General features: G+C 52.9%; 4 annotated features.

Annotated features, from left to right (window-relative positions):
- Window positions 714-1,257: an enhancer, noted in NCBI's record as "H3K4me1 hESC enhancer chr13:112056241-112056784 (GRCh37/hg19 assembly coordinates)". NCBI's record gives its function as "activates a minimal SCP1, AML or CMV promoter by ChIP-STARR-seq in naive H9 embryonic stem cells {active_cell/tissue: H9 hESC(naive)}" and the evidence as "EXISTENCE:reporter gene assay evidence [ECO:0000049][PMID:30033119]".
- Window positions 1,258-1,803: an enhancer, noted in NCBI's record as "H3K4me1 hESC enhancer chr13:112055695-112056240 (GRCh37/hg19 assembly coordinates)". NCBI's record gives its function as "activates a minimal SCP1, AML or CMV promoter by ChIP-STARR-seq in naive H9 embryonic stem cells {active_cell/tissue: H9 hESC(naive)}" and the evidence as "EXISTENCE:reporter gene assay evidence [ECO:0000049][PMID:30033119]".
- Window positions 1,804-2,349: an enhancer, noted in NCBI's record as "H3K4me1 hESC enhancer chr13:112055149-112055694 (GRCh37/hg19 assembly coordinates)". NCBI's record gives its function as "activates a minimal SCP1, AML or CMV promoter by ChIP-STARR-seq in naive H9 embryonic stem cells {active_cell/tissue: H9 hESC(naive)}" and the evidence as "EXISTENCE:reporter gene assay evidence [ECO:0000049][PMID:30033119]".
- Window positions 4,431-4,600: an enhancer, noted in NCBI's record as "experimental_32439 CRE fragment used in MPRA reporter constructs". NCBI's record gives its function as "activates a minimal promoter by MPRAs in K562 erythroleukemia cells, with activity observed for both the introgressed and non-introgressed 13:112052983 variant alleles {active_cell/tissue: K562}" and the evidence as "EXISTENCE:reporter gene assay evidence [ECO:0000049][PMID:34662402]".

Raw genomic sequence — 12,982 nt, 5'->3', positions numbered from 1 at the left:
ACCCTGCAGTGGGCTGTGTTCCTGTCACCTGAGGCCTTGTGAGATGGGCAGCTTACCCAGAACTCAGCGGTCACCTCGGTGCCTTGGAGGGATTTCCCTGCAAAGCACGTGGAGCTTTTGGGAGGCGGGCGCGTTAAGTGACAGGTTTATTTTGAAGAATACAAATACGTGGCCAGATAAGAGATGCGTAGGCCAGCAAGGTTTGGGGCTGCAGGAGTGGAGGGTGGCACGGAGCTTCCACGCCTCTCCAGACACTGCCCTCCCACCACTGACACTCTCACCAGCCAGGAGCTCTCCAGCCCTGTCTTTCCAGGGTTTCCATGCAGAGTTTCATCCCAAAGGCATGACTGACGGGGCTCAACCCCAGTGCTTCTTCCCTCCCTGGAGGTCGGAGGTTGAGGCCACAAGTTCTCACCCCTGTGGCTGGTTTTTGGGGGGAGATGAGGTCACTGGATGTCAGAGGGTGAGACTGAAAGTTCTCACCCTGTGGCTGGTGGGGAGAGGAGGACACACATCACCTCATTAGCACAGACCCAACATCAAAGGGGTTCCTCAGGAATAAGAAAAGGCCAGGCACAGTGGCTCATGCCCATAATCCCAGCACTTTGGGAGGCCAAGGTGGGCGGATCACTTGAGGTCAGGAGTTCAAGGCCAGCCTAGGCAACATGGTAAAACCCTGTTTCTATTAAAAATATTAAAAAATTAGCTGGGAGTGGTGGCGGTTGCCTGTAGTCCCAGCTACTTGGGAGGCTGAGGTGGGAGAATCGTTTGAACCGAGGAGGCGGAGGTTGCAGTGAGCTGAGATCGTGCCACTGCACTCCAGCCTGGGCAACAGAGCGAGACTCCGTCTTGAAAATATAGAAAAGGAAGAAGGAAAGGCACTACCTCCTACCACTCAGGGAATTCCAAGTGTTTTAGGAGTTCTTTGCCAGGAGACAGGAGCAAGGACTAGGTATGTGTTTTTATCACGCACCACCCCCACCCCCCACCGCAAGGTGGCGTTGGAGCCCCTTGGTGTCCCCAGGTGAGCCGTCGATGTGCGACCCTCTTGGCATTTCAGCAAGGCCTGCCTAGGCTTGGGGTTTTTCCTAAGGTCGAGGACATAAGGAAACAGCTCAAGTGGAGGAGTCAGTCCACATGCCAAGGGGCCTCTTGCTGCCATGGGTCCTCAGCTCTTCCTGCCCCCGGGGCTGGTCACCTGTATCCATCCTGCACCTCCCCCCCTTGGCTCACACTTGGTTCCTGAAGACAGGGAATGGGGACGTGAGACCCAGTCAAGCCCCTCCAAACACATGTGTCGGCCAACACTCGCTCATCTCGTCACCACCCTTGTCCAAGGGGCTGCTCAGGAGGAATGGCGCTGGCGGCCCTCAGGACAGCGAGACTGGCCAGCACCGGGGGGGCCCTCTCTGTCACCCACATCCTCAGCACTCAGGGCATCTTAACTCAGTAAATCCAACAACTCCATGAGGCCAGCGCCATTATCACCCCCACTTCATTGAAAGGACTTAGGTACAGAGGGGTTACGTCATGTGGCTAAAAAGTGTGGGATTCACAACACACCAACCCCATAACCCACTCGGCTTCAGACTCTGGCTTGGAAGCGGCTCCCTGATGCTGGTTCTCCTGCGGCCCATGTGACCGCAGAGGGGAGGACCCCGGCTCCCCCAGCCTGGTCACCGGAGCTCCGGCACACACCTGCATTCAGCAGCAGCATCTCCCAGATGCTCCAAGTGCTTTGCAGGGAACTCCCTCCAAGGCAACAAGATGACTGCTGAGTTTGGGGTAAGCTGCCCATCTCTCAAGGCCTCTGGTGATAGAAACACAGAGCCTGCTCCAGGGTACGAGGGCTGCTGGACTCACCAGTCATGCAGGGGCCACGGCCCCAGAACACATTCCTTCCTCATCCACACACTTGCCAACCAATGAAAATCCATTTCCAACATCCCTAGTCTGCCTAACACACCACCAGGACAAGTCACGTAGGGGTGCAGGGGCCTTGGAGAACTCCTCACGGCTGCCTTAGCCATGTGGATGCTGAGTTAGGTCCCTGGAGTCTCTGATTAGAGCACGTGAGACACTGACCCACAATCCCTGGGGCATGGACTGAGCCTGACTCCGCAGAGTGGCAGAAGTGGAGATAAAAGGAAACACATCATGCTGGGCATCACTGCCTGCTTCCTAAGCAACCATGCCCCAGTCCCTGAGAACAGGCGACTTTGGTTCCGTTCCCCACTCCTGTGATATGCAGCGCCCCACCCAGGGGGTTAGCGAGCTCCACACCAGCTCTGGGGAAAATGGGTTGGCCCATCCCATATGAGGCCAGGATTGTTGGTTTGGGAACACGAAAGGGGCCCTGGGTTTGCTAAGGGGGCTGGAGCAGGTGTGCTCTGGCTACTGGGGGCACACATCAAGAAGGGAGTGTGAGGAGAACCAGTGCAGGCCGAGGCGGATGCCAGCACAGGCATAGCAATGCCGCCGCAGGGGAGACCGGAGACCTCACAGAGCCACTCCCTGGGCACGCTCCATCTGGACTCGGAGTTCAGGCCCGTCATACGTTCACGCCCGTTTTAATCATGCAGACCTGAGCCCCAGCTGAAGCCCTATATTTTTCTGAGCTGAGGGGCACTGAGAGAGGAGCTCTCGGCCTCTCACACTTTTGCCACCATCTTCCCTGGTGTACACCAACAAAGTCCCACGAAGATCCGGGGCCAGCATCTTCCCTGGCGTGTGCACACAGAATCCTCCCAGGATCCGGGACCAGCTTCTTCCCTGGCGTGGGCACACAGAGTCTCCCCAGGATCCGGGACCAGCTTCTTCCCTGGCGTGGGCACACAGAGTCTCCCCAGGATCCGGGACCAGCGTCTTCCCTGGCGTGTGCACACAGAGTCTCCCCAGGATCCGGGACCAGCGTCTTCCCTGGCGTGTGCACACAGAGTCTTCCCAGGATCCGGGACCAGCGTCTTCCCTGGCGTGTGCACACAGAGTCTTCCTAGGATCCGGGGCCAGCGTCTTCCCTGGCGTGTGCACACAGAGTCTTCCCAGGATCCGGGGCCAGCGTCTTCCCTGGCGTGTGCACAGAGTCTCCCCAGGATCCAGGGCCTCCCTCAGCCTACACCTCTATCCAGCCTGGACATAGCTCAGGCAGCCAATGATGCCTGAAGGAAGGTGTTCTATAGAGCATGTCGGGAGGGCCACTTCCAGGTGGGAGAGCGCTGCTCTAGGTGGTCAGCGGGCCTGCTGGGGTGGACACACAGGTCGGGGGAGGAGCTCTGGCCACATCCAGGAGGAAAACGGGCAGTTGCTGGAGACGGAAACGAGGTTGTTACGTCAGGGAGAACCCAGGGAGCAGTCTGAGGTGAGCTAAGATCAGGTTGAGATGTTCCAAAGAAGTCCACAGGCCTCATGAAGTGAACACAGAAGTGCCTTTGATAAGTGACCTCTGGTTTGTGCGTTAGGATAGAGTCTGCTTTGACCATTTAACCAGCCTGGTCTGGTCAGTGCTTCCTAGTGCGAGCTGGAGAAGAGCAGAGGCATTGGTGCAGAGGGAGCTGGCCTCGAACCTGGGCTCTGTGGCTAATGCAGCCTTTAGGACATCTCTGAGGCTAGGAACCCTCAACAGTGAAATTACCTACCGTGGGCTTTGCACACAGCAAACGTGGAATGGATTCCAGATCTGTTATTTAATGGCTTTCTGTTTTTCTCATCTATTTCAACTAGAGTACTTTGGGTGTGGGTTCTGCTCATGCCAGGTCCTGCCCCGTGGGGGAGGCAGTCACAGGCGTGGGGTTTGCAACTGTCAGTGGAGCTTCCCAGGTCTGCAGGACTGCAGGTGTGCTGGCACGACCTCAGTCACACGCATCTGCTCTCACATGCCACACTGTAGTTTCAGAATCTCCTTATAGCTGAATGTATGTCAATTCAGAAATGATCAGTGAATATATCAGAAAAACCTCTGGTATTTTCTTTTTACTAAAAAAAGGTTAAGATAGAAAAAATCTAAATAAGATATCTGAAGACGGTGAAAAGAAACAGTGAAACAGAAGAGATGAGGATTTGGAAACAGAGAGAGGCGAAGGAAAATAAAATCCAGATAGAAGGAAATCCTGGCATGAGGCAGAGAGGGAGAGCAGGGATGGTGTGAGAGCCAAGGGTGGGCGTGGTGAGAGAGGTGAGGCGGTGAACACGTGCAGTGATCACTTAACACAAGTAGTACGTGTCCATTCCCCCAAGCACAGGATGCAGCTGCCACCACAAAAACACCTTTTATCTTACAGAGAGAAAATGTTACCCAAAATATTGGAATATTACCCTGAAAGTCAAAATCACCCTTGAAAGCTGGGCTTGCAGTAAGAAGAACCATGAATGAATGATTCCCTGGTATAGAAATGGCTGAAATAATGTGTCGATGCTGTGTCTATCTTCATCACACACACAGCTTAGAAAAAAAGGACTAGAATTGCTTCTGTGTCCAAATCAAAGCAAGGAAATAAATACTCTGGAGGTTTCTAAACGTTCTAAATGGGAGGCAACGCTTTCTGTGAGAGTTGAATGGCAGAAGCACAAAGTCCCTTCACAATGTGGAGAAAGAGGTACTGTCAGCAGGAGGAATACACTGGTAGAGAGAGAGGAGGGAGGAGGGAGGAGGGAAAGGCGAGGGAAAGGTTGGTAAAGGGGCGGTGGTGAGTGATGGCCTGGGATGGATGTGCACCGTGGGTGTCTGGAGCATGAGGGCGGAAAGACTCCGTCTGCAGAGCGCCCTGAGCCAGGCGGAGCAGACACCACAGAGTCCCAGTAAACGCCGCTCCCAGATCACTTGGACAAGACTGTGGTCGTCGCAACCGGATCCCAGGGCAACTGAAAAATTACACAAATTTCACCTACTGATTCACTCCATCTTGTGACCTTATCCACCAGTGGAGGCAAAAACAGTCCACAGGCCCAGCCTGTTCAGAGTTGGGCCTCATCTGTTCCACGGGAGCTAAGCCACGATGCCCTGAGGCCAGCGCTTCATCTTCCAAGCTGTCCCCACTTTAGCAGCCAGGAACCCAAGGCTCATTCCTGCAATTCACCCGGGTGCTTCCAGCTTAGAGCTCCACACCAGGTTGGGCACAGAAGCTCCCCCACAGGAGCCCTGTGCTCACCCCTGGTCCAGTTCTGCAGACAGAGGCTCAGAATAGGCTGCCTGGGCCTGTCCTCCACACCAGTCCCGCTCCCAGATCAGGTTTGAGCCTGGGATGCTCCACTAGCCTAGGAGGGAATTTCAGATGGAGCCAAGCACCCCTGGCATTCCCAGCCAGTAAGATTCAGACCCATGCAGCAGGGTAGCTTAGGGCTGGATTTTGGAGACGGCTGAGACAAATCCTGAGCTGTGCAACCATGGGAAGTTTCGGAACCGTCCAGTTCCTTAAGGTTCTCACTGGAAAACGGGGTGACTGCTGCATCTGTCTCGGGGTTGTGGTAGGTACTGTGCCTGCACAGAGGAAGCAGGGGATGGGAGCTGGTCGCCAGCAGGGCTCACTCCACTTCCCGCCTGACCCACTCCTCCTGAGCACATACGCACTCGAGGGGACACAGGGCCCTGCTGCGCTCAGCTCCAGGCTTCTGCTCCTCTCTCCTCCTCTCTCTCGAGTCTCGTCTTTGCATTCATTAGGGCCCATCCTGCCCTGTTCCGTCTCTCCCGAGGACAGTAGTTGACAGGTCTGCCCACCCAGATTCCAGACACCCCACTCCACTTTTGATTCTGCCAGAGAGATGAGCTGAATGCATCCTCACTTCTTTATGTCCCAAATTTTCCATCTGTGAGGGAAAGAGACATCATTCCTGCCAAGTACCTGTCCTCCCAGAGATGGGGCCAGGATGAAGCATGTTCACGGAACAGCCTGACATTGGGGAAGGAGAGGAACCACACAATTGTTGTTTTCATGTACGATGGGTTCGGGCTCTTTGTTTTTTAACAGGATGGATGTCACCTGCAGAAACAATGAAATGGCAGCCTTTTCACACTCGTCCCGTCCTGTAGGAGTACCCAGCCTGATCTAGCCTCTCTCCTCCAGAACCTCCCATGGTCTAGGTTCGGTTCCAGCTTGGCCACAAGAAGATACCCATGAAGCTGAGATGGTTGGAAGTGCCTGTCTTGCTTCCAGTGACCAGCCCTGTCATCTGCACACACATCCACACACTGTAGAGGGCACACGCATCCACACGCTGTAGAGAGCACGCGCACCCACACGCTGTAGAGGGCGCGCGCTGTCCACACGCTGTAGAGACAAGAGCCCTGTGTTGCAACATGTCTCACACAGAAGAGGCTGCCCTGAACATTCTGAAATTCCAAAACCACCAATCTCTTCTGTTACAAATTCAGTGCAAATCATATTGCCGTTTCTATTCGCACATCCAAGAGGGAGGACATGTGGGACTCCGGAGCTGGGAAAGCAGGCTGGGCCACATCCTAAACATCTGGCATCACTTTCTCTGAAGTAGGAATTTCATTCATTCATCTACCACCTATTCTGGGGTTGATGAAGAACCATTTAAACACTACCAATCTTTTTCTTCCTATTGGCTGACCTGTTTGACCAGTTGCTGCCCTAAACTCCTCTCCCTGAAGTCCTCTCTCAGACATTACCCACCTCTTGTGCTTTCAGACTGAACCCAATCAGGAAAAATGGGACGCCATGGTGCACGTTACAAGAACACATTTTTGTTACTTGGAGGAACAGATCCAGCCCAGGTTGGGGGAAGCCCCGCTTGTCCCCTCAGACTTTGGTGGAGCATGCAATGGTGCCACTTGGTAAATGGCTGTTGTCACACTGAAGAGTTAATCTGATATGCATTAAAAAAGCAGGCAGGAGGCCAGGCACAGTGGCTCACACCTGTAATCCTAGCACTTGGGGAAACCAAGGTGGGTGGTTCACTTGAGGCCAGGAGTTCAAGACCAGCCTGGCCAATGTGGTGAAACCTGTCTCTACTAAAAATACAAGAATTAGCTGGGCATGGTGGCACATGCCTGTAGTCCCAGCTACTCGGGAGGCTGAAACACAAGAATCCTTTAACCGGGAAGGTGGGGGTTGTGGTGAGCCAAGATAGTGCCATTGCACTCCAGCCTGGGAAACAGAGTGAGACTCCTTCTCAAAAAAAAAAAAAAAAAAAAAAAGGTAGGCATGCTACACTTACCCACTGGGCGTGTCTAGACCATGGGACCTCTGCTTCTGAGGGTGAGGCCCTCTGGCTTGAAGGGGCAGGAGTGAGCAGGAGCTCTGTGATCGCAGTGATTTTAGAAATCATTTTGAAAGGAGCTGGTTTGGCGCGTGCGGATAACAATGGAAGGGTTTGTTCCCCGCACGCTGTTCTCAGTCTGGGCCTGAGCAGCCCCTCGTTCGAGGTGAGGTGAGGCTCACCCTCCCACAGAGTCCTGCCCGGGGTCTCCGGATGCTCCCTGCCCAGACTCTAATTACAGAATGGAGATGGCTTCACTCAAACAAGTGCCTGCCAGTGACAGCACCTGACAAAGGCAGCATGGAACCCTTGGGAGGAAATTAAATAACCCATATGAGAAAGGGAGAGAGAGAAAGGAGAAGCAGGGGCTGAGGAGCGGGAGGTGGGGATGGGAAGCGTGTGTCCCTCTGTTACAGCTTCTGAAGTTCATTCCTTCTGGGCACCTGAATGCAGGGCTCATGTGAGACTGTGAGAAGGGTCCCGACTGTGTGAACAGCAAATCAGGACCGCTCCCACCGCAGGACGCTCCGCACGCAGCTCCTTCGTGCTCCTTCACGGAGCCCCATCGCCCCTCGTTTCTCTGTTCAGCACATGGCAATGTGCGGGTCAAGGCGGGAAATAACTCTGTCCATGGACTAAGAACTCAAGGTCTGTTTTGTTCTAACCCGTAAACCTCCCCACAGGAATACAGTGATGTTTACTAACAGAGTTCATGGCGTATTCAAGTATCTGAATTTTGGTCTTCGTGCTGAGTCAGAAGCCTTGGGTTTTATGTGACCTCTGGCTTGGTTTTCTTATCTGCAAATTTGAAATTTAGGCTTTTGTTTTTCACTTAGGGGATGAAAAAGGGAACAAACCATCATTCTTGAGCCCAACCAGCTAAGAGTTTAGAAGTGTGAAAATTTGTATCTAGGGCATTATTTTTCATATGGAATATGAGTATATATAAATTAAGCGAACAGTGGGGCGCTTCTCTGCCAGAACAGGGTGGGCAGGGTTGCCCCTCCATCTCTCAGTCTCTGGGGTCTCTAAAAACCCTTAGCGTTCCTAGGAGCACAGTGTGCAAACCCCTCTGTGGAAAAGGGTTCATCTTCCAGCAGGCCCACAGATATTCCCAGGTGCCTCTCACTGGCCAGGTGGATCCTTCCCAGACCTCACAGCCCAGGGATTCATCCACTCGGTGGTGCCTCAGTGTTGAGTGAAGGACAGTGGTTCCCACGTGCAAGACGGGGCCCTGCGCGAGACACCTAGGGCAGCCGTAACAGCACTGCAAGACAGAAGTTGAAAACAAAAGCAACTGGAAGCCTGCAGTCAGAGTGTCAGGACCTTAAAACCGCGCCCCTCAGCCCCTTCCAGTCCCCACCTGCTCTGGACCTCAGTCCTTAGCTTTGGGCTGCAGTGCCCACCCCGCCTCCGCCCCCACAGGGCTCCTCCCTGTGGTCTTCCTCTGCGTCTCTTCCTATGACGCCAGTTTGACTGGATCAGGGCCCATCCCACTGTGACCTCACCTTAGCTAATTACACCTGCAACAATGTGATTTTCAAATAAGGTCACACTCTAAAGTACTGGGGGTTGGGACTTCCACATACTTCTTAACCCACAAAGGTGTCAATGCCAAAGACAAGGAGGGGGACTGAGTAGGCAGAGAGGTGTCTGAATGCACCCTGCCCGGCCCTGAGCCCATGGTCCCAAGAGCCCCTCCTCCCTCGGTGCATGCTGGGGGAAGAGGAGTCAGATGCAAGGGACAGAGCCCAGCCCAGTGGCCACAGCTCAGGCCAGCAAGGCACTTGGCAGCTAGGACAGCTCACCCCAGCAGATGCATGGCCTCAGAACTGCCAGGAGGGGGTCCATCACCCCTGAAAGCCTCACTAATGCCCTGATGCCCATAGGCCTCTGGGAGTATGGCCCTCCTTCAGCAGCCATAACCCTGTGTGACTCCACCCATGTCCTCAGAAAATGCTACCATCCTCTCACCACCCTAGGGAACACAGCAGGGCCTGCGCTTCAATCAATACTCAGGGAACTTTCCATCTAGTCGGGGAAATGAGATGGTACATAGACACTGAGAAGGATGCCAGGAGGACAGAGGAGAGGGTGGGCAAACTCCCTCAGCACCAAGCTGCAGGAAAGCCACAGGGTAGGCTTAGTGGAGGAACGGCCTCAAGGCCGGCACAGACAGCACAGGTGAGGGCTCTGGGGCTTAGCTGTGACCCTAGGCAGGGTCTTGGAGAGCTCTTCATGCCCCATCACATCCGCACAGTGACGCCTGAGTCCTGCCAGTGGGCAGAGCAAGCAAGGCTTTATCATGGCTGTGTTAGTCTGTTTTCATGCTGCTGATAAAGACATACCCGAGACTGGGCAACTTACAAAAGAAAGAGGTTTATTGGACTTACAGTTCCATATGGCTGGGGAGGCCTCACAATCATGGTAGAAGGTGAAAGGCACATCTCACATGGTGGCAGACAGGAGAGAGCTTGTGCAGGGAAACTCCCGTTTTTAAAACCATCACGAGATCTCATGAGACTCATTCTCTATCACAAGAACAGCGCAGGAAATACCCGGCCCCATAATTCAATTACCTCCCATCGGGTTCCTCCCAACACATGGGAACTGTGGGGGGTTACAATTCAAGATGATATTTGGGTGGGGACACAGCCAAACCATATCAATGGCCAAGAAGCATTTTTATGGCCAGTGACATATCACAGTGGGTTCAAACTTTACCTGAGAATCCAAACCCCAACCTTCAAGATGAATCACTCAGCATGTTATTGTTAGTCTAGAGCCAGACCTGGAACCCAACACTATTTAGTGATAGCAGTCACTTGCCCTCTCTTCCTAAGTCCCCCATGACACAATGGGATTTTCCTTGAGTTGTGTTTTCGAACAGGAATCTACTCCCAGTTCAAGAAAGTCAAGATTCAGACCAAAAGGAAGGTCTTCTCCTCCAACCGTATGAGTGACTCTGACTTTTTAAAAATGGTCTTTATTTTTTTAGAGCATTTAGGAAAATTGATCAGAAGTTTCAGAGAGTTCCCATATTCCCTGCCCCCAATTCCCGCAGCCTCCCCCAAGATCAACACCCCCAGCAGAGTGGCCCATTGGCTGCAACGGAGGAGCCCTGCATGGTCCACAGTCCCCAAATGGGGGCACACACTTGGTGCTGGGCACTCCGTGGGTTTGGACGAATGCCGGCGACTTGTCCCCAGCATTGTCGTATCACACAGTGTGGTTTCACTGCCCAGGAAGTCCTCTGTGCTCTGCCTATTCACCCTCCTCCCCAGTCCCCAAGCCTGCAAACCACTGGTCCTTCTACTGTCTCCACAGGTGCCTTTTCCAGAACAACAAACAGCTGGAATCATATACTCTGTGGCCTTTCAGACCAGCTTCTCTCACTTGGAATATGCAGGAAAGCTCCTGCACATCTTTTCGTGGCTTGAGAGCTCGTTTCTGTTCAGTGCTAGGAAGCATTCTGCTGTCGGGTTAGGGAGCGACAGTTCATTCACCCACCCACTGACAGACATTGTGGTGGCTCCAGGTTTCAGCCACACGAATAAAACCGCTGTGAACATCCCTGGGCAGGGGTCTGTGAGGACCGTTCCCAACCCCTTGGATAAATCCCAAGGAGCCCAGTTGCTGGATCATGCAGGAAGAACAGGTTTCATTTCAGTGTTTTTTCCTGTTTTGTTTGCTCTGTTTCAGCCAGCACCATCTTTAGATTATGTGTTGTGGTTTTTGAGATGGAGTCTCTCTATAGCCCTGGCTGGAGTGCAGTGGCATGATCTCAGCTCACTGCAACCTCCACCTCCTGGGCTCAAGCAATTCTCCTGCCTTAGCCTCCCAAGTAGCTGGGATTACAGGCACGTGCCACCACGCCCAGCTAATGTTTCTATTTTTAGTAGAGATGAGGTTTCACCATGTTGGCCAGGATGGTCTCAATCTCCTGACCTCATGATCCACCTGCCTCGGCCTCCCAAAGCGCTGGGATTACAGGCGTGAGCCACTGAGCCTGGCCTTTGTTGTAGTTTTTAAATGAGCATGGGCAGGAGTGGAAGCTGGAGGGACCTTATGAGTCCTTTCCAATGGATGGCAGAGACCTTGGAGAGCTGTATTAAGGAGTCGCTCCATCATTGGCACATCTGTTTCCAATGATGCTGATAAATCCCGACGCTCTTGCAGTGTCTGAGATGTGTGTCACTCTGCGGTGCTAACACTGGACACAGGGAACTTTCAAAGAGTCAATCCAGGGGGAAGTGACTGGAGGGGCTGGGTGTGTGTCCCTGTAGGCCTCTCCTGATCTCAGTGGCCTGAGTGCAGCTCCCAGCAACACACAGGCTCCAGAGACCAGCACCCAGCCATTCCTTCTCCCCAGGACACAGCATTTGGCTGGCTATGAAGGACTCAGGGGCCTGCAGTTGGAAGATAATGCAATCAGAAGACATTTGGCCGTTTCAGGAAGACAAGTCCCTGCATTCATGACAGGCCCAAAGAAGGTGTGAACTCAGGCAAGGACCTCCCAAATAGTAGCAGATGGTCAGTGCACAGGCATCCTCAGTGAGGGAAGCAGACAGCCCGCGGGCCTTTGCAGACAGCTAGTACACAGACATCCTCAGTTATCAAAGCAGACGGCCTACAGGCCTTCATAGATGGCCAGTGCAGAGACATCCTCAGTGAAGGAAGCAGACGGCCTGCAGACCTTCCCTGTCCCAGGGCAGAGCAGACACCAGAAAGTCAAGTCTGTAGTTCATAAGGAGAGAGGGAAAAAACAAATGCCAAAGCTAGGAAGGAGAAAGAACCAATAGGCGGTCAGAGAGATGACAAGTGCTAATCCCACAGAAACAAAGCCGAAGAAGCCCGCGTGATCAGTCTCAAAATGGCCAGCAGGATTCTCTTGCATTTTTCTCGAGTGTTGTTGAAGTTTCCTCAACGTGGTCTGTATCTGCAGCATGGAACAGTGAATTTGCTCTCCCAAAAACACGCATAGGGTTATAAACAGAGAAGTTCTACATAGCAGAAGGCCACAATCATCTCAGGCCCTGGTCAGGCATAGCTGGCGCGTCTTCACTCACCCTATTTCCCTCTCTCGTCCCCTCCAGTAGCCAAACCCTGACCCCTTCCTCAGAGCCAGGATGTCTGAACCCCCCTTTCCCTCCTTGGCCTCTCACTCTCCCTCTGAACCACCAGGAAGGGATCTGGGATAAACATTCATCAAATACTGCATGTTGCAAACACTTTCCATATGTCGCAAGAAATCTACACGCAACATATTAGGTTGGTCATTTCAGAAAGATAAGCCCCTGCGTTCGTGACAGGCCCCAGGAAGGCATGAACTCAGGCAAGAACTTTTGCCATTAATTTTAAAGGCAAAAACCGCAATTACTTTTGCACCGACCAAATATCATCATGTTTCACACTTGTGAAAACAGCATGGAAAATCTTTCCTAAGAACGAGCCTTATTTGTTCACCATTTACATGTTTCATAGTATATCTGGGGGCCAGTTCCAGATCTTCTTCACTTCATTAAATTCCATGGTGTCCAGGGCAGGACGGAAGAATGAATAAATTCTCAGCAAACCCTTTTTTTTTTTTTTTTTCTGAGATGGAGTTTTGCTCTTGTTGCCCAGGCTGGAGTGCAATGGCATGATCTCGGCATACTGCAACCTCCGCCTCCCGGGTTCAAACAATTCTCCTGCCTCAGCCTCCCGAGTAGCTGGGATTACAGGTGCCCGCCACCACACCTGACTGATTTTTGTATTTTTAGTA

This window comes from Homo sapiens, chromosome 13, assembly GCF_000001405.40.
Source record: "Homo sapiens chromosome 13, GRCh38.p14 Primary Assembly".
NCBI classification, from domain to species: Eukaryota; Metazoa; Chordata; class Mammalia; order Primates; family Hominidae; genus Homo; species Homo sapiens.
Note: the sequence above shows the minus strand (reverse complement) of the source record. Positions and strands in the feature narration are given on the sequence as shown.